General features: G+C 37.6%; 1 protein-coding gene across 1 annotated transcript in view, besides 2 other annotated features; it reads right to left on the bottom strand.

Annotated features, from left to right (window-relative positions):
• Positions 1-24,459, bottom strand: part of DIAPH2 (diaphanous related formin 2) — a 920,156-nt gene that overhangs the window by 10,006 nt on the left and 885,691 nt on the right. The window lies entirely within an intron of this gene.
• Positions 10,437-11,084: an enhancer, noted in NCBI's record as "NANOG-H3K27ac-H3K4me1 hESC enhancer chrX:96838907-96839554 (GRCh37/hg19 assembly coordinates)". NCBI's record gives its function as "activates a minimal SCP1, AML or CMV promoter by ChIP-STARR-seq in naive and primed H9 embryonic stem cells {active_cell/tissue: H9 hESC(naive and primed)}" and the evidence as "EXISTENCE:reporter gene assay evidence [ECO:0000049][PMID:30033119]".
• Positions 11,085-11,733: an enhancer, noted in NCBI's record as "NANOG-H3K27ac-H3K4me1 hESC enhancer chrX:96838258-96838906 (GRCh37/hg19 assembly coordinates)". NCBI's record gives its function as "activates a minimal SCP1, AML or CMV promoter by ChIP-STARR-seq in naive and primed H9 embryonic stem cells {active_cell/tissue: H9 hESC(naive and primed)}" and the evidence as "EXISTENCE:reporter gene assay evidence [ECO:0000049][PMID:30033119]".

The following is a 24,459-nucleotide window of genomic DNA, read 5'->3' as shown; positions in this document are numbered from 1 at the left end:
TCTTGAATATGGCATGAGGCGGTAAACTTGGGATTGAAAAAAACTGTTATAAAAGGGCCACGTCCATTATTCATTCCCCACAAGGTTAGGCGTCCATCTGTTGTTGCCTAGGGGAAGGCTGTTTCTTTCCCTATGGTGCTTCATAGGCATGTAGAGATACCAGTGTTGACCTAACATTATATACTAGTCCCTCACAGCAGGATAACATAAACGAAGTCTATGACCCTTATATACATAGTGTTACAAAATATCCCATTTTAATGCCAATTAGTAGGCTAGAAAACAAAGTAAAAGAAACCCTCTGTAATTTACAATGAGCTTTGCTTTCTCCAAAGCCCTTTGAAAGTGACAATGTGGCAGATTTACCATCAGTGGTCAGGCATTGTTTCTGGCAAAGAGAGCAAGTAGAGGTCTGGGTCTATTGCAGCTTAGGCTAAGGAAACCAAGAAAACTTTTTATGTTGCTTCCAAAAATGTCCATAGAGTAGCTATTTGCATCCCAAGCACTGATGAGAGAAAGATGATTTATTTTGGACTGTTATACTGAAATCATCTCATATGGACTTACATTTTTTCCCCCTTGTGTCCAAAATGGTTTTATTTATGCTTTTCTCTGTGATTTTAGAAATCCTGACTTGGAAATAGTTTTTTACTCACCAGAAATGACTGCAAGGTGGCAGCCAAATTAGGCTTGAGCCTAATCTCTTTGTGGGGGACAGCCAATTGCTCTACTAGTTGACCAGATTCTTTCTCCTCACTGTGACCAGAATAGTGTCTTTTGTGTATGTGTACGTATATATATATATATACTGAGCTCAAACTACATATGCAGTTTGGTGTTCTACCTTTTCATTTAATATTGTATTGTAGAAATTTTCCATGTCATTAAACTTCTGGAACATGACAGTTACATCTTTACATATGCCATATGTAGAAGTGGCATTGTTAGGGTATGCAAAAGTAAGTCCAAATGTATTCCAGAATAGTTGTATTAATTTAAATCCAATTGGCAGTATATGAATTTGTGTATCTTATCTCTTTGTTAGGTATTAATCTTTTTAAAAATGTGCTAATATAAAAAGTGAAAAAATTGCATCTGATTCATTCTTTTTGCATTTATTCAAATACTAATTAGGTGGAACGTTTCATATGTCTTCCTTTCTATACTGATCATGTCTTTTGCCCATTTATCTATTGGGATCTTAGGTTTCTGCTTTTGTTTTTATTTTAAATGGTACATGTTAGGGATACTAAACAATTGAAATATTTATTAGAAATATTTTCCTTTGTTTGTTGATTGCTTGTTGATTGTTATTTATTTTGTGTTGTAGGTTTTTAGGAATATATGGTTTCATTTTTTGCTGTTTTTATGAAACTAAATCTATCAATCTTTTACACTGTGATTTGTTTCTTTGTTTTTAAGCTTAGAAAGTCCTTCTCTAGCCAGAGACATGTGACAAACATTCAACTATATGAGTTCTTGCTCTTTAAGGTTTAACTTGTTTTTTTTTTTTACATGTAACTATTTAAATTATCTATAATTCATTTTGTTGTACAATGTCAGGTAAGTTTCCACACCAGTTTGTTTCTTTTTTTTCTTACAAAGAGGAGATGGGCTGTTCCTGCACTATTTGTTGAATAATCATGAATTTCTATAATGATTCATGTTACCTCCTTTATCAAATATAAATTGCTATACTCGGGTTTCTGTTCCATTGACATTGAGATTATTCCATATTTTTGTGCCAATAGCTCCTGATTTCATTATTTCAGCCTCATGAGATGTTTTAATATCTGGTGGAGTTAAACCTCCATTACTCATATTTTCATTTAAACTATGTATTTTTTAGGACACATTTTAGAACTCTACATGCTATAATCCCAAAACAACTTAAAAATAACACAGCTAGATAAACAAACCCAATGGGTACTCGTCTAGAAGCCAATCGATTACCTCCACTTAGCAATTAAATAGTTCTAGACCTATTCTAATCTCAATGACATTATAATGTGCAAACTAGAAACAGGTCATGTTGTGTAATCTGTATCCTTCATTACATGCAAATAAATCCGTGCAAAGAAAACAGAAACCTAGATTACTGTGGTAGTTCAGGTTGGTAGAAGAGATGAAAGTTATTTTAACGAGGATGGTAATGGAAAGCAATAATGTTAAAATAGTTCAGAGGCTACTGTGACTATAGACACACGACTCCCATTAACTGTAATTGGAGTTAAGCACATGTAATGATAACAAAATAGACCCCCAAATGTCTTTCCAATTGGAAAATAAGCAAATGTGTTCCATGAAACAGAGTGCTTTTGTGTAGAAAATACAGTATTCTAATTGAGATGCACAAATTACTTTCACATTGATATTGTTCACGGTATGATGTTGGTATTGTTCCTATGCATAGGGATGTAGATCTGCTAGAGGTAACTTCTGTGCAAAGAACGCCTTTCCTTTTCTTAATGCTCAGCATTCGTTATGTTATTAAAGGAAAAATCTCAATAGTTGCAATGGATTTATTAATTCAGTAGCTTGTTATCAACATGAAACTCTGCTGTGCTAGGGGAAAAACAAATTAGATTTTACAAAACTGCAGTAGTGAGATTAAATCACTTTTCTATATTTCACTTTCTTCTTATCCTCCCTGCCAGGTAGTAACTCTACTCTCCATCTCTATTATGAACCTCATATTTTGCAAACTATCAAGTCTCGTACTAATGTAAAGGTACATTATCAAACAAACTCAATTATAGTAACTTTAGGAAGATTGAAATACCTGATAAAAGTAAAATCACATAGTACAATAATATTAATTCAAGGCATTAAAAATGTATCCACATTAAACTACAAATGTAGAAAATATGCAATACTTACTTTTATCTACCATAAACATGATATTTTTATAACATGTACAGCCAATCTCTTGGGATTCTGAATGACTGGCATTTACATAATTGATAACATGGGCATTTCAAGAAATCTTAGAAAAGTATGGTTAAGAAAAAATTACATCAGTATATTGTTCAGTATTTCAACTGCCACAGACCTTGCCATTGATTATCTTTGGACTCAATGTCAAAGCTAGTGAATAGATTTTTTTAAATGTCCTTGGTTTTGTATATGAGCCATGCATTATGTTTGCTTCTTTACTAGAGAATGCAATTGGGTCGTAAGACAGATTTTCTCTCTATGATGTTCAAAGTCTGATGAGGATGCCTGCATATCTAGAAAATACAGAAAAAGGTGACAAATAAATATATGAAGAAAGTTAGGCAATAGCTGGTAAAGCTTCCAAGGAAGTTATATATGTGAAACATATTGAAGAGCAAGCTAACAGAAACCACACAAACTACAACAGAGATGCTCAAGGTGTCTATGATAGTGGCTTATACATAGTAGTTTCTAGAAACTTGTCTGTTGATTAAATAATCATCCAATCATTAGCATCAAATCAGAAACTGATCCTTGAATTCACCTTCAGCTCTGCTGCTTTCACAGAGGGAATGTATTTTGACATTAATACAAGGAAAGGAAAGGCTTTCTTCTGTCTGTCTATCCACACGTTGTTACTGCATAAGCTATCTGCAGGGTACCTTAACAGGCACCCTTGCACATTATGAGGGTAGAAAGGATAAATGTACCAACAACTAGAACATGAAACTAACTATATTGTCTCTTGTAGCATCTATTACATTTTAAGTACAATGGAGGTTCAAAGTGGAGAAAAATCATATCCCTTGAGTACAGGAGCTGGGAGTCAGGGACAACTTCTTCCCAGTTAAGCCTTAAAAGATAGGGGGATTTCAACAAGAAGAAACAGAAAGATAGCTGTTAATTTTTGATTAGCAGAAAAAGGGAATTCTAGTTCTCGAATATTGCTATTTAATGACTAAATGTTTCCTATTTGCAAAGAGGGTATGAAAAGCAATGAATGTATAAAGGAAGAACCAGAATGTCTATACATATTTAACCTTTATTTTCTAAGGAAGAAAATAATGAAATAAAATATACTGACTGGACTTGTAGTTATTAGAACTAAGACAGTGACAGCTGTTTCAATAAACATGTAATTTTAATTTTAATTCTATTTTTTTAAAAAAACAGTCTTGAAGCATTTACATAGAAAACAGGAGTTCTGCTTTAAAAAGTGAGCAGAAATGGGCTCTCTGAAATCTTCCGAAGAGGTTCTATTGTTGAAGCCTAGATATCCTAGATAGTATCAAGAGTGACAGTAGAAAAGCCGATGAAGGCATAGATTGCAATAACCTGGGCCAGGAGTGTTTGGCAGGGTGAGAGCTCAAGCAGCCATTTGGGTTGGTGGAGAATAAACTAGCTGTTAAACGGCATGGTGGCTACAAGGTCAATTCATTACTATCACCTGTCATCTCTGTGCCTTTCTACTCCATGTGTGGCATATATGCCTATGACTAAGAATAGTAGGCATCAGCCATTTCTCTAACTTTGAGCACATGATGGACAATCCTCTGTCATTTTCTGAGGCAGTTGTTTGTGATCTGCCTGAACTTTGTTGCTGATATGCTGACTTAGAATACACTTACCTGTCATCTGCCTTTGTTTCTGAATCACTCTAAGACCATGTATCTACTCTTTTTGTTTTTAACATGTGCAACCCATCTCTTGGGTCTGGGCTACGTATTTCTTGCTGATGATGGAAGTTTTAGGGTAGTCAGTCCAACTCCCCAGCTTAAGTAAGCCCAGGTACCCTTGATATGCAGGCTCGCTAGTTTCAGCAGTGAGGCAGAAATGGCAGTCGTTCATTCACCCTGCATGATGTCTCCATTTCCCAAAGAACCAGATCACAGAAATATACCACTGCCTATGATTTTGATAAAAGATACTTAACCTACAGCTTACAATGCAAGAGTCTATAAACAGGTGCTTCCCATTAGCAATGTTCCCCATGCTAGCCTGTGCTTAATTACTTAACCAGTTGTATGAACAAAGGCAACCTGTATGGTTAATATCACACACACTTTAACAGCTGTCGGTGCCATTGTTTTAAAATACAAATTGTCCCTTAAGGTAGAAGCCAGTCAAAAGTTGTTTTAAATATGAACAATTAGGACACAGTTAAAACACAGCTTCTTGATTCCATATTCATAATTGGCACAAGTTCCTTTATATTTCTAGTGTCTAACACAATCCATGCACAACCTGAGTGCCAGGCTGAGCCTATACATGAATAAAAATGGCTACTAACCTAGCAACTTGCTTCTCATATAAGATGTCTCAAAGAATCATTCCTGACATTTACATCTATTGGGACAAAGCCAGTCCTCACATTATCGGATAAATGTATAAAGCTAGATCATCATACACTGATGTTCTTTGCAGCATTGTTTATACTAATGAATATCATAAATAACCAATATGTCCATCATGGGATTAGACAAAACAGGGAACCTACAAACATTGGGATACTATGCAGTCAATCTAAACTATTACATAGATCTACATGTACTTGATAAAAAGAGGTCCATATGATAAGGTGAAAAAGGCAAGTTATAAGAGTATGTCATAATCTGCTTTTTGAAAAAAATATAATTTATAATATTATAATTTTTAAAGTTTAGAGGGATATACACCAATAAAAAATAGTGGCTATCTATGAATGGTGGGATGACTCTTTTTTTTTTTTTTTTTTTTTTGAGATGGAGTCTCTCTCGGCCGTGCAGGCTGGAGTGCAGTGGTGCGAGCTTGGCTCACTGCAACCACCGTCTCCTGGGTTCAAGCGATTCTTCTGTTTCAGCCTCCCGAGTAGCTGGGATTACAGGCACCCGTCATCATGCCCAGCTAATTTTTGTATTTTAGTAGAGATGGGGTTTCACCATGTTGGCCAGGTTGGTCTTGAACTCTTGACCTCAGGTGAGCCACCCACCTCAGCCTCCCAAAGTGCTAGGATTACAGGCATGAGCCACCGCAACCATCTGATTCTTTTATATATATATATATATATATATATATATATTTCTATAATATCTGAATTTTTGGCATTGAGCATGATTAATTTGTCAAACTAGAGAACAAAATCTAGATAGGATGTTAAATTCTCAGTCTTTAGCTACAAAGTACATATTGTTTTCAATTTTAAGAAAGAGTAGCATAGGATCCAATAATCTCTAAACTAATTCCTTGTTGATTATACCATCACTAAGTATACTATAATGGAAAGAAAAAAAGGATATAAAACAGGTGCCAGTTTTCTGCCCTGTTTCAGTAAGGGCCGTGGAATGTTCCCTGATGGGAAAGTCATGGCTTACAAATTTTAGAACATGAATAAATTTGTGTCCACACAGTTATCATTTATAAAGGTATTTCACGTATCTTAGATTATAAATTCTAAAAGTTAAAGTCTTAAAAAGTCATTCTCTCTAAAAGATTGACTCTCTCCAAACAGATGGGTAAAAATCCAGAAAAAATAGGAGGTATGTCATTACATCACCTGGAGAGAGTTTTACTTCAATGATAAAAATCACATGAGACTTCAAAAAAAAAAAAAGTCTGTCCTTTGATGGTAAAAGGTACTGACCGATGTTTAGTAAAGCATGCATTCCGGGTTAATTTTCCCTTCCTAGTGCAGGCAGTGTGGGGTGGAAAGGGAAGTCTTAGCACTAAGCATTATATTCTTTCTTACCACTTATAACAATGGAGCAAAGTAAAGCTAACTGCTATGTGTAGTCTTTGAACTTATTAATGTAGACTACTAGACTCATTTGTTTCCTAACCAATTAGGCCCACTTTGCGTTTATGCATTCGCAAAATGAACCTTTCTAAACAGCAGTTTCCTTATTCGTAAGATGGGGATAATAATGGTACTTACACTGAAGAGTATTAACAGAACTAAATGAGGTAATCTAGTACCTGGCCCATACTAATCTTCTGATGGATGTGAAGAGCATGCACACAAATCAATAAACAAGCCTCAAGCAAAAAACTGTTTCTACTTACAATGGATAGTCACAATTTAGCGTGACAGGTCAAAGTTCTCAGTGTATGGCCATACATATGGGTTCACATCTTTGTTCTGCCACTTAAGAGCTATGTTTTTCTCATTTTAATTTCCCCTTGTGAACATAAAAATAATATTAAAGACCCACCTAACAGGGCAGTTACAAAGACTTTAGTAATGAAACAATAAAGTAAAATGACCAGAATGGCACCCGATACAGAGAAAAAGCTGAACATTTTAAATATTAGATATTGTGAGAGCCAAATTCCAAAGATTTTAGCATCACGATCATATTACACTTTTCAAAGTCTAGACAGCCTCATTATGGTACTATGACATTTTTTAGTCACTTTTGGGACAATGAGATTAGATGCAAACAGATGTTTATAGAAGTATTTTTCAGATTAGCCTATTAAAACAAAGACTTAAAAAGATCAGCCAGAAGTCAGAATTTATCAAGGTTCTAACTCTATTTCACAAGTCATCATAGGCGAGGGTATTTTTTTTATGCCCTTGAGAAGCAATGAAAATCTTTCATAACTATTTACTTATTTTTCTTATTGTCATCCAGTGGGTATAGAAATGTTGCCAGACTGCTTTCTATTACTTCGCTGCTTTAGGATTCCAGTTGTCTGGACAGATTTGTCCTTTAGGGTAGAAAGAGATTATTTCTAGAGATTCCAGCCTGGCTTGAATGATGCATCTAGCAAAACCGGTCACTCATTTTTTTTTTTTTTTCTAGGACAGCAGATTTACCAGGCAACCTGCTGAAATTCAATTCGGTTTCCTGAGTAGACTTATGCACTCGAAAGAGGAGGAGCCTTGCTGTCATAAGCAGAGTCTGTTCCAATGTCAGGCATATTTCCCTCTGTCCAAAAACTGGCCTGCAATTTATTTCAACCATCTTTTCTTGAACATTGACTATGTGCCTGGCACAGTGCTAGAGGGATACAGAGATAAATGAGCCAGTCTTTCAAGGCAGGTACTATGTAGTGATTGTGGCATTTTGGTTTAAAAATTAGTCTAATGGAAATGTATTAAGGCTTTCTCTTTACTCTGTTATATAGTTCTCAGTGAGTCAGTTTGAGAACTTAGATTATATTGGATCCCCTGATACCAAAATGAAATGTCTCAGCCCTTTGCCTCATGGTGTTCTCTCTCAAATGCGGTTAGCATACAAAGATAATGAGAAGAGAGTTATAGTGTGTGCTATGATGAGGGGTATACTGTTCAGGAGTACAGAAATTAAATACTCAGCCAAGCCTTAGGGGAAGCATCTTTGGGAAGACTTTCTAGAGAAGGCAATATTGTTGTAGATTCTTAAAGGATATGGATGAATTATCCTGGAAGAAAAGTATATTCCAGGAAAAGGAGATGCTGTGAGGAAAGGAAGAGAAAATATGAGGTAAAAAAAGTGTGTGTGAAGATGACAAACAAAATCAGTATTGATTAAAAGCAGGGGATGATGGTTAGAACACAGATTGGGCTTATGTGTCATTTTAAGGCTCTTGAACTTCAGATATGCAATAGGGAGTGAAGTGGTAAGACAGTTCAGTTTGGTGATCATGCAGTAGGTGAACTTAATAAGCACAAGACAATAATTAGGGATTCATTGGACATGTAGGAAAGAAAAGGAGTCCAAGATCACTCTAAAATTAAAGAAAAGGAGTCCAAGATCACTCTAAAATTTCCAGCCTATATGTTTGGGAGAATGGTGGTTCCATCATCTAAGAATATATAGGAGAAAAAGGTGCATTCCAGGTGATGATGAGTTCAGTTAGGGATTTGTCAATTTGTATGCCTTTAAAACATCTGAGTGGACCTGCCCAGCAGGCCGTTACAAATATTACAAGACCAAGGTTCAGGGGAGAGGCCTGAAAAGAGTGAGAGAGATTTGGGTAATAGATGGTAGATGGTTATCAAAGCCATCATTCAGGAATGTACGTAAAGTGAGAAAAGCAGTGGGCTAATGATCAAATCCTGGGAAACAGTGACATTTAAGAGATAAGTATAGGAAGAAGAGTCCATGAAACAAAACAGCAAATATTCAGAGAGGCATAGAAAGAACCATTACAGTACACGTTATGGAATTCAGGGGAGTAGATATTTTGAAAAATGGAATAAGCAATAATATCATATGTTGTAGAAAGATGCAGTAAAATAAAGACAAACTATCAGATTTAGAAATATGGAGGTCATTAGAGACCTTAATGAGAGCAATTTCAGTTCGAAATAAGGGGAGCAGAAGCCAGATTGCAGAAGGTTGAGGAGTAAGTGGAGGCAATGAATATAACTTACACTTGGATTTCCCATGACCCTGAAAGGGGTGATATTTTCTTAGAGTGCAAACAGTTGCCTCAGGTCATTGTGCCCGATGTACCCAACACCACTTCTAGCTGAAACCATCACCCTCAATAGTTTTTTTTTTTTTTTACTTAGGAAAGCAGTACTAAATAGGCTTTTTCCCCCTCAACAGTGGCCAATGAAGGGACCATTATGGACATCAGTTTCCTTCAGGGGCAGCCAATTCATAGGTAACACATGGCATGATTTGTGATGAAAGGCACTACTCAATAGGGCAGTAAGCCAGTTGAAAGATAAATAGAAAAGAACAGACACACAGAAGGAAGTAAAATTCATTTTGTTTCTTAAGGGGTCCAGAGTAAGTTTCTGTTCTAAAAGAGCCCAATGTAACAAAGATATTAATTACATGATGTAATTCCCAATGTTGCAGCCAATTTCATTAAAAAAAAAAAAAAAAAGTCAGTGGAGCTCACTAGGGCATTATTTCTTAAAACAGGGTATATTTACAGTTTTGTGTTTTCACTTTATGGTACAGTAAAAAGTGTTTACATAAGGATACCCTGCATCATCACCTTATGAGTGACTAGTGTACTGATCACTGATATACAAAAAGGCTTATATATATTTGCTTTTATATTACGTAAAAGCCAAGCAACATTATTGTGCACTGTACTAATGAAGGTTTCATGATAATTTGAAGAGAGAAAATTTTTCAGAGACTTGAGTCATCACAGGGTGCAATGCTCTTTCACACAACAGTCTAGGCAAGCTGGACATATGAGAACTGTGACATAACAGTCAGTACCGTCTTCAGGACATGATCAGTTGTATTATACGGATGTAATCCTTGTGGACCAACTTGCAATTGTTCACTATCTAAAAATTGAGTGGTAAATATGTACTGAATACTTTTTTGCTTCCTGATTCCAGCAGTAAATGGATTAAATACCCATGTTATATTCCAATCCTAGCCTTCTCTTCATGTGAGCAACACAACTTTACAAGGTTCTGGAGCAGACATCCTATTAAAACTGGAATTTGAGAGTTGCTCTCTACCAAAATTTTCATTTGGTATGGAGTCTGATGACCCTGAATTCTATCACAAAATGTTGACTGATGGTACTAGTACCACTTTGTTCAGCCTACTTATACAACAGGGATGTTCTGCATTTGTAATGATAAGGTCAAAAAAAGGTATAAGTGGATCTGAAGCTCTACTATTAAATCTAGAATCAGTAGGCACATTAAGTGAACATTAATTTTAGTTTTATCTGTTTTATTAAAATTCTTAAAGCATATAGAGTTTATGCCTATTTTTATATTTAAGCAACAATATATTAAAAGTAAGTCTAAGTCGATTACTGGGGACCCAAAATTATTAGGTTCTCATTAAAATGTATCCACAGATCCCTTTTACTACACCTAAAATTTGAGAAACAATGCATTGGGTAGACTAATCACTATACTCAGGCTTTCTTCCTTTCTAGTCAATCTCTAATCCAGCTTTGAAAACAGTCTTCTCGAAGATGGCCGAATATGAACAGCTCCGGTCTACAGCTCCCAGCCTGAGCGACGCAGAACACAGGTGATTTCTGCATTTCCATCTGAGGTACCGGGTTCATCTCACTAGGGAGTGCCAGACAGTGGGCGCAGGTCAGTGGGTGCACGCACCGTGCGCGAGCCAAAGCAGGGCGAGGCATTGCCTCACTCGGGAAGCCCAAGGGGTCAGGGAGCTCCCTTTCCTAATCAAAGAAAGGGGTGACGGACGGCACCTGGAAAATCGGGTCACTCCCACCCGAATACTGCGCTTTTCCGAAGGGCTTAAAAAATGGCGCACCACGAGATTATATCCCGCACCTGGCTCGGAGGGCCCTACCCCACCGAGTCTCGCTGATTGCTAGCACAGCAGTCTGAGATCAAACTGCAAGGCGGCAGCGAGGCTGGGGGAGGGGCGCCCGCCATTGCCCAGGCTTGCTTAGGTAAACAAAGCAGCCAGGAAGCTCGAACTGGGTGGAGCCCACCACAGCTCAAGGAGGCCTGCCTGCCTCTGTAGGCTCCACCTCTGGGGGCAGGGCACAGACAAACAAAAAGACAGCAGTAACCTCTGCAGACTTAAATATCCCAGTCTGACAGCTTTGAAGAAAGCAGTGGTTCTCCCAACATGCAGCTGGAGATCTGAGAACGGGCAGACTGCCTCCTCAAGTGGGTCCCTGACCCCTGACCCCCGAGCAGCCTAACTGGGAGGCACCCTCCAGCAGGGGCACACTGACACCTCACACTGCAGGGTACTCCAACAGACCTGCAGCTGAGGGTCCTGTCTGTTAGAAGGAAAACTAACAAACAGAAAGGACATCCACACCAAAAACCCATCTGTACATCACCATCATCAAAGACCAAAAGTAGATAAAACCACAAAGATGGGGAAAAAACAGAACAGAAAAACTGGAAACTCTAAAAATCAGAGCGCCTCTCCTCCTCCAAAGGAACGCAGCTCCTCACCAGCAGCAGAACAAAGCTGGACAGAGAATGACTTCGACGAGCTGAGAGAAGAAGACTTCAGACGATCAAATTACTCTGAGCTACGGGAGGATATTCAAACCAAAGGCAAAGAAGTTGAAAACTTTGAAAAAAATTTAGAAGAATGTATAACTAGAATAACCAATACAGAGAAGTGCTTAAAGGAGCTGATGGAGCTGAAGACCAAAGCTCGAGAACTATGTGAAGAATGCAGAAGCCTCAGGAGCCGATGCGATCAACTGGAAGAAAGGGTATCAGCAATGGAAGATGAAATGAATGAAATGAAGCGAGAAGGAAAGTTTAGAGAAAAAAGAATAAAAAGAAACGAGCAAAGCCTCCAAGAAATATGGGACTATGTGAAAAGACCAAATCTACGTCTGATTGGTGTACCTGAAATGATGGGGAGAATGGAACCAAGTTGGAAAACACTCTGCAGGATATTATCCAGGAGAATTTCCCCAATCTAGCAAGGCAGGCCAACGTTCAGATTCAGGAAATACAGAGAACGCCACAAAGATACTCCTCGAGAAGAGCAACTCCAAGACACATAATTGTCAGATTCACCAAAGCTGAAATGAAGGAAAAAATGTTAAGGGCAGCCAGAGAGAAAGGTCGGGTTACCCTCAAAGGGAAGCCCATCAGACTAACAGCGGATCTCTCGGCAGAAACCCTACAAGCCAGAAGAGAGTGGGGGCCAGTATTCAACATTCTTAAAGAAAGAAAAGAATTTTCAACCCAGAATTTCATATCCAGCCAAACTAAGCTTCATAAGTGAAGGAGAAATAAAATACTTTACAGACAAGCAAATGCTGAGAGATTTTGTCACCACCAGGCCTGCCCTAAAAGAGCTCCTGAAGGAAGCGCTAAACATGGAAAGGAACAACCGGTACCAGCCGCTGCAAAATCATGCTAAAATGTAAAGACCATCGAGACTAGGAAGAAACTGCATCAACTAACGAGCAAAATAACCAGCTAACATCATAATGAGAGGATCAAATTCACACATAACACTATTAACTTTAAATGTAAATGGACTAAATGCTCCAATTAAAAGACACAGACTGGCAAATTGGATAAAGAGTCAAGACCCATCAGTGTGCTGTATTCAGGAAACCCATCTCACATGCAGAGACACACATAGGCTCAAAATAAAAGGATGGAGGAAGATCTACCAAGCAAATGGAAAACAACAAAAGGCAGGGGTTGCAATCCTAGTCTCTGATAAAACAGACTTTAAACCAACAAAGATCAAAAGAGACAAAGAAGGCCATTACATAATGGTAAAGGGATCAATTCAATAAGAAGAGCTAACTATCCTAAATATATATGCACCCAATACAGGAGCACCCAGATTCATAAAGCAAGTCCTGAGTGACCTACAAAGAGACTTAGAATCCCACACATTAATAATGGGAGACTTTAACACCCCACTGTCAACATTAGACAGATCAACGAGACAGAAAGTCAACAAGGATACCCAGGAATTGAACTCAGCTCTGCACCAAGCAGACCTAATAGACATCTACAGAACTGTCCACCCCAAATCAACAGAATATACATTTTTTTCAGCACCACACCACACCTATTCCAAAATTGACCACATACTTGGAAGTAAAGCCCTCCTCAGCAAATGTAAAAGAACAGAAATTATAACAAACTATCTCTCAGACCACAGTGCAATCAAACTAGAACTCAGGATTAAGAATCTCACTCAAAACCGCTCAACTACATGGAAACTGAACAACCTGCTCCTGAATGACTACTGGGTACATAACGAAATGAAGGCAGAAATAAAGATGTTCTTTGAAACCAACGAGAACAAAGACACATCATACCAGAATCTCTGGGACGCATTCAAAGCAGTGTGTAGAGGGAAATTTATAGCACCAAATGCCCACAAGAGAAAGCAGGAAAGATCCAAAATTGACACCCTAACATCACAATTAAAAGAACTAGAAAAGCAAGAGCAAACACATTCAAAAGCTAGCAGAAGGCAAGAAATAACTAAAATCAGAGCAGAACTGAAGGAAATAGAGACACAAAAAACCCTTCAAAAAATTAATGAATCCAGGAGCTGGTTTTTTGAAAGGATCAACAAAATTGACAGACCTCTAGCAAGACTAATAAAGAAAAAAAGAGAGAAGAATCAAATAGACGCAATAAAAAATGATAAAGGGGATATCACCACCGATCCCACAGAAATACAAACTACCATCAGAGAATACTACAAACACCTCTACGCAAATAAACTAGAAAATCTAGAAGAAATGGATAAATTCCTTGACACATACACTCTCCCAAGACTAAACCAGGAAGAAGTTGAATCTCTGAATAGACCAATAACAGGATCTGAAATTGTGGCAATAATCAATAGCTTACCAACCAAAAAGAGTCCAGGATCAGATGGATTCACAGCCGAATTCTACCAGAGGTACAAGGAGGAACTGGTACCATTCCTTCTGAAACTATTCCAATCAATAGAAAAAGAGGGAATCCTCCCTAACTCATTTTATGAGGCCAGTATCATTCTGATACCAAAGCCGGGCAGAGACACAACCAAAAAAGAGAATTTTAGACCAATATCCTTGATGAACATTGATGCAAAAATCCTCAATAAAATACTGGCAAACCGAATCCAGCAGCACATCAAAAAGCTTATCCACCATGATCAAGTGGGCTTCATCCCTGGGATGCAAGGCTGGTTCAATATACGCAAATCAATAAATGTAATCCAGCATATAAACAGAGTCAAAGACAAAAACCACATGATTATCTCAATAGATGCAGAAAAGGCCTTTGACAAAATTCAACAACCTTTCATGCTAAAAACTCTCAATAAATTAGGTATTGATGGGACATATTTCAAAATAATAAGAGCTATCTATGACAAACCCACAGCCAATATCATACTGAATGGGCAAAAACTGGAAGCATTCCCTTTGAAAACTGGCACAAGACAGGGATGCCCTCTCTCACCACTCCTATTCAACATAGTGTTGGAAGTTCTGGCCAGGGCAATTAGGCAGGAGAAGGAAATAAAGGGTATTCAAGTAGGAAAAGAGGAAGTCAAATTGTCCCTGTTTGCAGATGACATGATTGTATATCTAGAAAACCCCACTGTCTCAGCTCAAAATCTCCTTAAGCTGACAGGCAACTTCAGCAAAGTCTCAGGATACAAAATCAATGTGCAAAAATCACAAGCATTCCTATACACCAACAACAGACAAACAGAGAGCCAAATCATGAGTGAACTCCCATTCACAATTGCCTCAAAGAGAAGAAAATAGCTAGGAATCCAACTTACAAGGGATGTGAAGGACCTCTTCAAGGAGAACTACAAACCGCTGCTCAAGGAAATAAAAGAGGATACAAACAAATGGAAGAACATTCCATGCTCATGGTTAGGAAGAATCAATATCGTGAAAATGGCCATACTGCCCAAGGTAATTTACAGATTCAATGCCATCCCCATCAAGCTACCAATGCCTTTCTTCACAGAATTGGAAAAAACTACTTTAAAGTTCATATGGAACCAAAAAAGAGCCCGCATCGCCAAGACAATCCTAAGCCAAAAGAACAAAGCTGGAGGCAACACACTACCTGACTTCAAACTATACTACAAGGCTACAGTAACCAAAACAGCATGGTACTGGTACCAAAACAGAGATATAGATCAATGGAACAGAACAGAGCCCTCAGAAATAACGCCGCCTATCTACAACTATCTGATCTTTGACAAACCTGAGAAAAGCAATGGGGAAAGGATTCCCTATTTAATAAATGGTGCTGGGAAAACTGGCTAGCCATATGTAGAAAGCTGAAACTGGATCCCTTCCTTACACCTTATACAAAAATCAATTCAAGATGGATTAAAGACTTAAACGTTAGACCTAAAACCATAAAAACCCTACAAGAAAACCTAGGCATTACCATTCAGGACATAGGCATGGGCAAGGACTTCATGTCTAAAACACCAAAAGCAATGGCAACAAAAGACAAAATTGACAAATGGCATCTAATTAAACTAAAGAGATTCTGCACAGCAAAAGAAACTACCATCAGAGTGAACAGGCAACCTACAAAATGGGAGAAAAATTTCGCAACCTACTCATGTGACAAAGGGCTAATATCCAGAATCTACAATGAACTCAAACAAATTTACAAGAAAAAAACAAACAACCCCATCAAAAAGTGGGCGAAGGACATGAACAGACACTTCTCAAAAGAAGACATTTATGCAGCCAAAAAACACATGAAAAAATGCTCACCATCACTGGCCATCAGAGAAATGCAAATCAAAACCACAATGAGATACCATCTCACACCAGTTAGAATGGCACTCATTAAAAAGTCAGGAAACAACAGGTGCTGGAGAGGATGTGGAGAAATAGGAACACTTTTACACTGTTGGTGGGACTGTAAACTAGTTCAACCATTGTGGAAGTCAGTGTGGCGATTCCTCAGGGATCTAGAACTGGAAATACCATTTGACCCAGCCATCCCATTACTGGGTATATACCCAAAGGACTATAAATCATGCTGCTATAAAGACACATGCACACGTATGTTTATTGCAGCATTATTCACAATAGCAAAGACTTGGAACCAACCCAAATGTCTAACAATGATAGACTGGATTAAGAAAATGTGGCACATATACACCATGGAATACTATGCAGCCATAAAAAATGATGAGTTCATGTCCTTTGTAGGGACATGGATGAAATTGGAAACCATCATTCTCAGTAAACTATCGCAAGAGCAAAAAACCAAACACCGCATATTCTCACTCATAGGTGGGAATTGAACAATGAGATGACATGGACACAGGAAGGGGAACATCACACTCTGGGGACTGTTGTGGGGTGGGGGGAGCGGGGAGGGATAGCATTGGGAGATATACCTAATGCTAGATGACGAGTTAGTGGGTGCAGCACACCAGCACGGCACATGTATACGTATGTAACTAACCTGCACAATGTGCACATGTACCCTAAAACTTAAAGTATAATAATAAAAATAAATAAAAATAAATAAAAATAAAAATATGCAGTGCCAATAAACTGCAACAAATGCTTAGTTCTAAAAAAAAAAAAAAAAAGAAAGAAAACAGTTTTCTCAAAGAGACCGTACTCCCCAGCTCAAAAGGCTGCAGTGGATTTAAAACAAGACTAATCTGGTTCAATCCTAATTTGAAGTGGTGAAGAAAAGACAAAAACAACAATAAAAATGGTAACAAGTTAACTTTCAGGGACTCAGATTAAAATTCACTGCAAGAGAAGACATATGAAGATAAAAGTGAACAGATTCACACTAAAGGATGTAGCTTCGGCAGATTAGAATACATGTGTAATAAATTTGGCCCCAAAATTTGTGGCAGCTAAAAAAGTACAGGAGAGATTCATGGAGTACATATTTTCTGGGTTTTTAAAAATTGTTTGTTTTTACACAGATCCCACTCTATCCAATCAGATTTTCTCCCATTCTCTACTATTCCCCCTTGAATCTAGTTAGGTTGGCTTCACAACTGTTCCACAAACACATCTATATATCTTCCAGATTTGTGCTTATGTACCCACTTTGCCTTCTCCTTCCCCTCCATTCAAGACTACTTATCCTTCAAAGCCCAACTCAAATCCCACCTTCCCGATCCCTCTAGCCTTCGCTGATCTTTCTCTCCTCTCGACTCCAATAGCACAAACTTAGCTTGTTTCACACAATTCAGCTTTCAATTATAGCCAATTTCGTACTGCTCACTATCATTTCAGATATTGCCTTTCTAAGAGGAGAGTTCTGGGATGGCAGAGAATGAGCCTCTTCTACCTCTTTATTAGCTTTCTCGATATTAAATAGCCATGTAGTAAATACATGCTGATTCTTTCTCTGAATAAAACTTTTACAAGGATTTATAGACATAGAAATATGTCATTTGTTCCCATATATACATATTCGTGCAGGACAATAAATAGTTTACAAACTATCTTTTCAATCTGTTCTTTTACTCTGGGTCTAACTGTGAATCTTTAAAGCTGGTTCTAGAGACAGCTTTCTGTTCTTAGGGGTGTTGAAGGAAAAGGTTAATATGTATGGTTAGATTGTGAAGTAGTACATAAAATGACATTTAGCAGCCCTGAGAGCTCCAGCATTAACTACATAAAAAACAGACAATGACTTGAAGTGAAAGATACTTCCTTAGAAGACTTTCTTCTGACCAACCACATTATAATCTTATTCTGAGATGCCCTATTTTATCCTATTCTGAACATTAGTCGCAAAATACCATAACCATAAATATCAAAATTTCAAGACCAAGGCAGAATTTGTATGTATTGTTTCTAAACGATTCCCTTTGTCAGGATTATTTAACTACCTTTTGAAAGACAGTAAAATAGGAGATATGACTTTCTTATGGATTAGAAAAACTACATGATCTAGAAAAAATATAATTTTTATAAGTATAAAAATTTTATACTATATAAATAAATTCATTCTTTTCTCTAGTAACAAGTAGAGTGAAATTCTATTGAAAATACAGGGTATGTTCCATGATTACTTTGTTTATGAATTGGCCTATCCTGAATCAATATCACATTCTGCAGTCAGTATTAACATTTTTTTCTTTCAGTCTTCATTTTCCTTGACCTCTCTGTAGCACATGACACTGTTGACAATTATTCTTTCCATGAAACTCTCTTTTCTTTTAGCTTGTATATTATTATTCTTTCTTCATTCTCAAATTATTTCTTTAATCTTTCTCTGTTTCTATGCTACTATCCTTTTCCTTGAGAATTTGGTAAGTAGCAAAATTTCTTGAGCTTGTCTTGCAGGAGAACAGAGAACAAAACACTTTGTTACAATTCCCTTAGTTTGCAACAAAACTGGCTTACAGTCTGGGACAAGTTGGAACCCATTAATGTGTCTGACTGCAGTCTGCACAGAATAGACTTGCTTGCCTGGTGAGTGACCTTTTGATGTCAGAGGGCCAAAATCTCCACCCTCAGATCATTTTCTGAACATAAGACCCATGAAGAAGCGTGCATGGTCAATAGCTCATGCCCAAGGGAATTTCCAACCCCCTTTTCCTTACAGTCAATCACTGTCCAGCCCCCAGATCCCAGCCTCAAAATCTCTCCCTTAAATCCATCCATGGCTGCAAGGCTAGTATGGGAGACAGCTTTGAACCTGACTCCTATCGCCTTGCTTGGCTGCCTGGCAATAAACTTTCTCACTGCAAAAACACAGTGCTTTGGTGTTTGGCTTTCCATTGCTTGTGTGCAGACAGACACAGTTTGGTTTGGTCACAACGTGTTAGTAATTTTCAGCACTTTATTCTTTGCCCTTTCCCATATTTTAACTCTATACTTTCCATGAGCTACTTCCCAGGGGTATGCTCATCCAATTGCCAAACTTAACTGCTCTAACTATTCTATCTCCTGCATGCTAATGGATCTCAACTCTGCATTTCTCAGGCTCTAAGCTACAGCTTCAATCACCTTCTCAATATTTCTCCTGATTGTTCCAAAGCTACCTCACACTGCAGATCCAAATTAAACTGATTTCATTTCCTTTCATCCTATTCCCTCCTTTTTATATATCCTAACTTTGATGATTAGAGCCATCTTATAAGTTAAATTGTGTCCCCCTTAATTCATATATTGGATCTCTGAAGCTCCAGTACAGCAGAATGAGGTAACCTTATTTGGAGATAGGGTCTTTATGGAGGTAACCAAGTTAAAATGAAGTCATTGGGGTGGGCTCTAATCCCTTATGACTAGTGTCCCTAGAAAAAGGAAACATTTGGAGACAAACACACACCAAGAGAGGATGCCATGTGAAAATGAAAGCAGAGATCAACGTGATGCTTCTACCAGCCAAAGAATGCCAAAGATTGCCAGAAAACCACCAGGAGCTAGGAGAGAGGCCTGGGCCATATCCTTCCCTAACACCTTCACAGGGAGCGTGGCACAGCCAACCCATTCATTGATCTTGGATTTGTAGCCTCTAGAACTATGAGACAATACATTTCTGTGGCTTAAGCCACTCAGTTTGTGGTGCTTTGTCACAGCAGCCCTAATAAAATTACTACAGCTATCATATAGCAATCATAAAATAAATCAATAAATCATCCGAGAATCCTTCCCTTTTTTATCCTCATATCCAGTTGCTCAATAAGTTCAGTCAATTCTAACCCCTGAATCATTTTTGCATCTATTTATTCTGCATTATCTCCACTGTCACTGCTCTAGTGCAGGCCTTATGCTTCTGTTGCTTAGGCTCTTATAATAGATCCCTATTGAATTTCTCCTGTCTCTAGCCTCACCCTTACCCTATCAGCCTTCTATATCGTTAGAAGATAATCATTCTACAATGTATATCTAGCCATGCTACCATAAGTCTAAGCCTGAAATGGCTCCTTATCACCCATGTAGTAAAATAATCGAACTAATTATACATGGCCTATCATGACTATTCATCTTTCCAGCCTCTCATACCTATGTTCCAGCAATGTTAACAGTTGGCTCTTCCTTGAATATACTGTGTTCTCCTATTGCCTCCATAAATGCTGTTCCCTTTCTTGGATCATGCTTCTCTTCCTTTTTCTTTTCCTACCCAAGAAACTCCTACTCATCTGTTAAGATTCAGCTTGAGCTTTATACTGTGATTGTCCCTGTGCGATCTATCTTCCCCCATTTTATCGTGAGCTCTGGAAAGGCAGCAACTGCAATTTAAATCTTTTTTTTTTTGGTACCTGTAATATAAGAGACATTTGGTAAATGATTTTTGAATTCCCCAAAGGAAATAAAAATATTAGAGCACAAGAGTCATTTGAATGAATACCTTCATGTGTATTAGAACTATTCTTTAGGTAAGTGAATTCAGCTTTGATTGCCTTTTTTGATAAAGAAAGCTGGTCAGATCTGTATTTCATAGTTGTTAAAGGTAAATTGCAAATCGTTTAATTTTCCTGTGTGCTTTGAATCCTCCAATGAGGGAGTTCTATTGGAGATAGGTCAGTTCAATGGTCAGTTTACGGCAGAATTAAATTCATAGTTCCACTCTTTAGACCTTTAATTTTTTTAGGTTTGTCAACTCTCTTTAGATATCTTACAGGAGAATCAAAGGCAGTCAGTTTGTTGTTACAGTCATATAGTGACACAGGAGAAATGAAACAGTGCATTACTACACAATGCTTAATTGCTACTTTCTACTTCAATAACCAAAATCATGCTTGATGGCCGGGCACGGTGGCTCATGCCTGTAATTCCAGCACTTTGGGAGGCCGAGGTGGGTGGATCACCTGAGGTCAGGAGTTCGAGACCAGCCTGGCCAACATGGTGAAACCCTGTCTGTACTGAAAATACAGAAAGTAGCAGGGTGTGGTGGCGGTCACCTATAATCCCATCTACTTGGGAGGCTGAGGCTGGAGAATCGCTTGAACCCAGGAGGCAGAGGTTGCAGTGAGCCAAGATCGCACCATTGCACTCCAGCCTGGGCAATAAGAGTGAAACTCCACCTCAAAAAAAAACAAAAAAAAAAACAAAAAAACCCCAAAAAAACATGCTTGATACCTTGATACCATTTTATTTTATGAAGAAAAAGGGTTAAGTGAACTTCATTTCTAGTTGGTTGCATAGATTAACCAAACTCCCCCTCTCCCCAAACTATCCAGTGAGTTTAATCATCTCATATTATTGCTTCCAGGTGGCAAATGCTTGAGAGTATCTTTATTAACCCTAAATGGTAAGAAAAACATTCCTGAAAATACATCTCTCCCTTTTCTTCCTCTCTAGGTAGGGATAGGGCACCAACATACATGCACAGAGCTTAGTTAACACATCACAAAAAATATATATATATATTGCCAAAAAATATTCAGTGCTTTCTTGTGAAAACAGTAGCAAGTCCCTTTGGACCACAGCATTGAAACTGTTCCACTAAACCTTTAATGTGAATTTGCTCAATGGGACTGGGCATACAGGTGTAGAACAATTATTAGATTTGGTATCTGAATGAGCTCAGGTTCCCATTAGAGCTTGACTGCTTCAATGACCCCATTATTTTGCTTCAACTGCTCCCCGAACTATCAACTTAATTATTCTGACTAACGAAACATTAAGGACATGAATTTCTGATTTGGTTTAAACCATATGGGACATCTAAAAGTGCTCACTTAAAAAAAAATCACAATACAGAAGAAATGACTACGAAGATATGTTAGAAGCTTAAAAGTAGGGCAGGGCCAAGATCCATGCTGGGCACACAGATACTGTACTTTCCTGGAATGGCACTTCTGTTTGGATGACTCGTTGGTACCTGTTATACCTTAACAATTTTACTCTTTCCCTGGAACACTCAAAACAGAAATAATTAATTTAGTAGAGAGGAGGGCATAGAAGGGGTTGAAGTAAAATCTTGTGTTCCCTGCCATAATACACTCGGATCTTTAAAATAGTTAATGTTCAGAAGGGCAAATAAAATGCTTTGCAGAGCAAGCCAATTACAGAGATTCTTTGGCAAATAAAGAAAAAGAAAAGTCAGAAAATGGGACAAACTTTTGAGTTGATGTGTATGGAATATGGCCTTTTATAAGGGGAAAGTTAAGGCCAAATTATATTTCTTATTAAAAAGCATTATCACCTTTAAAATTTTAGATTTTGGCATTAACTGTGGCCGAAGTGGCATAACAGCAAGCTATGTACTGAGTCTATGAAACAGACTATTTTGGAACAGAAATATACTGATCTTGATGTTACAGTTGCTTCATAACTGGTTTCCTTAAAAGCAGCTCCAACATTATGGGTATTTAACACAATTACTCATTATTTCAGTTTATATTAATGATTATTGAAAAGTTATACGTTTATCTACAGGAAAAGAAGGCATTAAAATATTACTTGTCTGTAAAATTTTACAGATGCTGGTTTACTTCTCATCAGTGAATGCATTTGTCTTTAAAAAGAATGAAACTGACATCAAAATGGTCCCCCTTGCCCCTTGCCTCCCTTCACTAATGATATGTAACGGCTGCTGAGCCTGCAATGAACGTGTTTATGTCCAGTCATATTCCCATCATTTTACAATCCAATCTGATTCCTTAAAAAAAAAAAAAAAGGAAGTCACAGGAGACTAGCACAAGTTCCTGCTTCAAGGCATTCTCTGACATCAGCCTTCACTTCGTACTTCTGCTCAAAGTACCTGATTTGACAAAGTGCACAGAAAGTCAGAAGACAAGCCTCTTCACCTCCTCTCCAAAACTGTCTGACAGGAGTCAACAATGATTCTTTCACAAAGCTACAATCTAACAGTTTTAGATGAAAGTCCAAGGGGAAACTTTCTAGCTATACCTTACAATATTTTATTAAAGAAGGGTGTAAAAATGCATTTGCCTCAGTGGGGCTATTTTCCTCCTCTGGTTCAACTCAATCCATTTTAACAGTTGGCAGTTTAAATAACAGAAGTTACAGGCTGCCATGCACAGACGCTTTGCATGCCATATGAAAGCAAAGGATTCAGAGATGGAAGCAAAAACGGAAAGATGAAAAAAAAAACCAGCCTCTATTCTATAAAAGAATTTCTTTAATAACAGCAGCTAGGTAAAATTTCTTTGAGCTTGTGTCCTTCTCCTACTGTTTTATATAAAGCAGCTACCATACTTGTCTTCCTAGGCTACATCTGACAGACTGTCAAAAGCAAACAACTTTTCCCCTTATATTGCAATAATCATCTACTGTATTTTTAATGTACTCAAAACAAATTTTCTTATTATACAATAACGGTGACAATCCTCCCTATATTCCCAATGTAAAATGATATATTTTAAAGACGATAATCATAAAAGCAGCCTATCCATAACTACTATTTTTAGGTTAAATAAAATATCAACATTTTTTATTCATGTTTAGGTTAATGTGTGCAATTCAGCTGTTTGCAATATTTACATGGAATTGAATATATTATGAGAAAACTTGAAAAAAGCAAAAGAGCCAAGTTTAAGACTGGTTCTTTCTTGGGTGGCTTTTTATCCTTACTGGCCACCTATTATTACCTTCATCATATAACATTAAAGAAAAAACAGAGACTTGGTGCTAGCTGGAGGATCCCATTATTACCAATGTCTCTGTGCCCACCAACTGTGACTTACTCGGTTTTGAACGTGCACTATATTATCATTTAGAATCAAAGTATGTATATTTTTATAAAATGTGCTGTGGTTACAAGGATTAATAGATACAACATAATTCATAATCTGAATTCTGACACATTCAGATTATAAATTGATTAGTACAGAGGAAGAGGAGGGATTAGGTTCTGTCCTTGCATTTTGATCTACATAAGCTAATTAAATATAACCTTGTACATATAAACTAACTTTGGTAGCAATGGCAATGTCTGTATCATTAAAGGCCAATGATAAGTACATCTTCTGTAGGCCAAATCTAAGGGTTTTCTCTTAGGAGAAATAGCTCAGAAATAATTAATATATAAGAAAATACATAAAGTGCCTTCCTGTTGAACAGTGAGAAACAACTCTACTCCTCCTTGGCTTCCCCCATTTTAGATTCCCTGGCTTTAAAGCACACTAGAGAGGAGATTAACTGATATTTTGCATCAAATGACTACCTTCCCTAAGTATCTCCAGCTTCTACAGCATTTTTTAATGC

Source organism: Homo sapiens, chromosome X (assembly GCF_000001405.40).
Source record: "Homo sapiens chromosome X, GRCh38.p14 Primary Assembly".
Taxonomy (NCBI): Eukaryota; Metazoa; Chordata; class Mammalia; order Primates; family Hominidae; genus Homo; species Homo sapiens.
The sequence above is the reverse complement of the archived record's forward strand: the minus strand, read 5'-3'. Positions and strand labels throughout refer to the sequence as shown.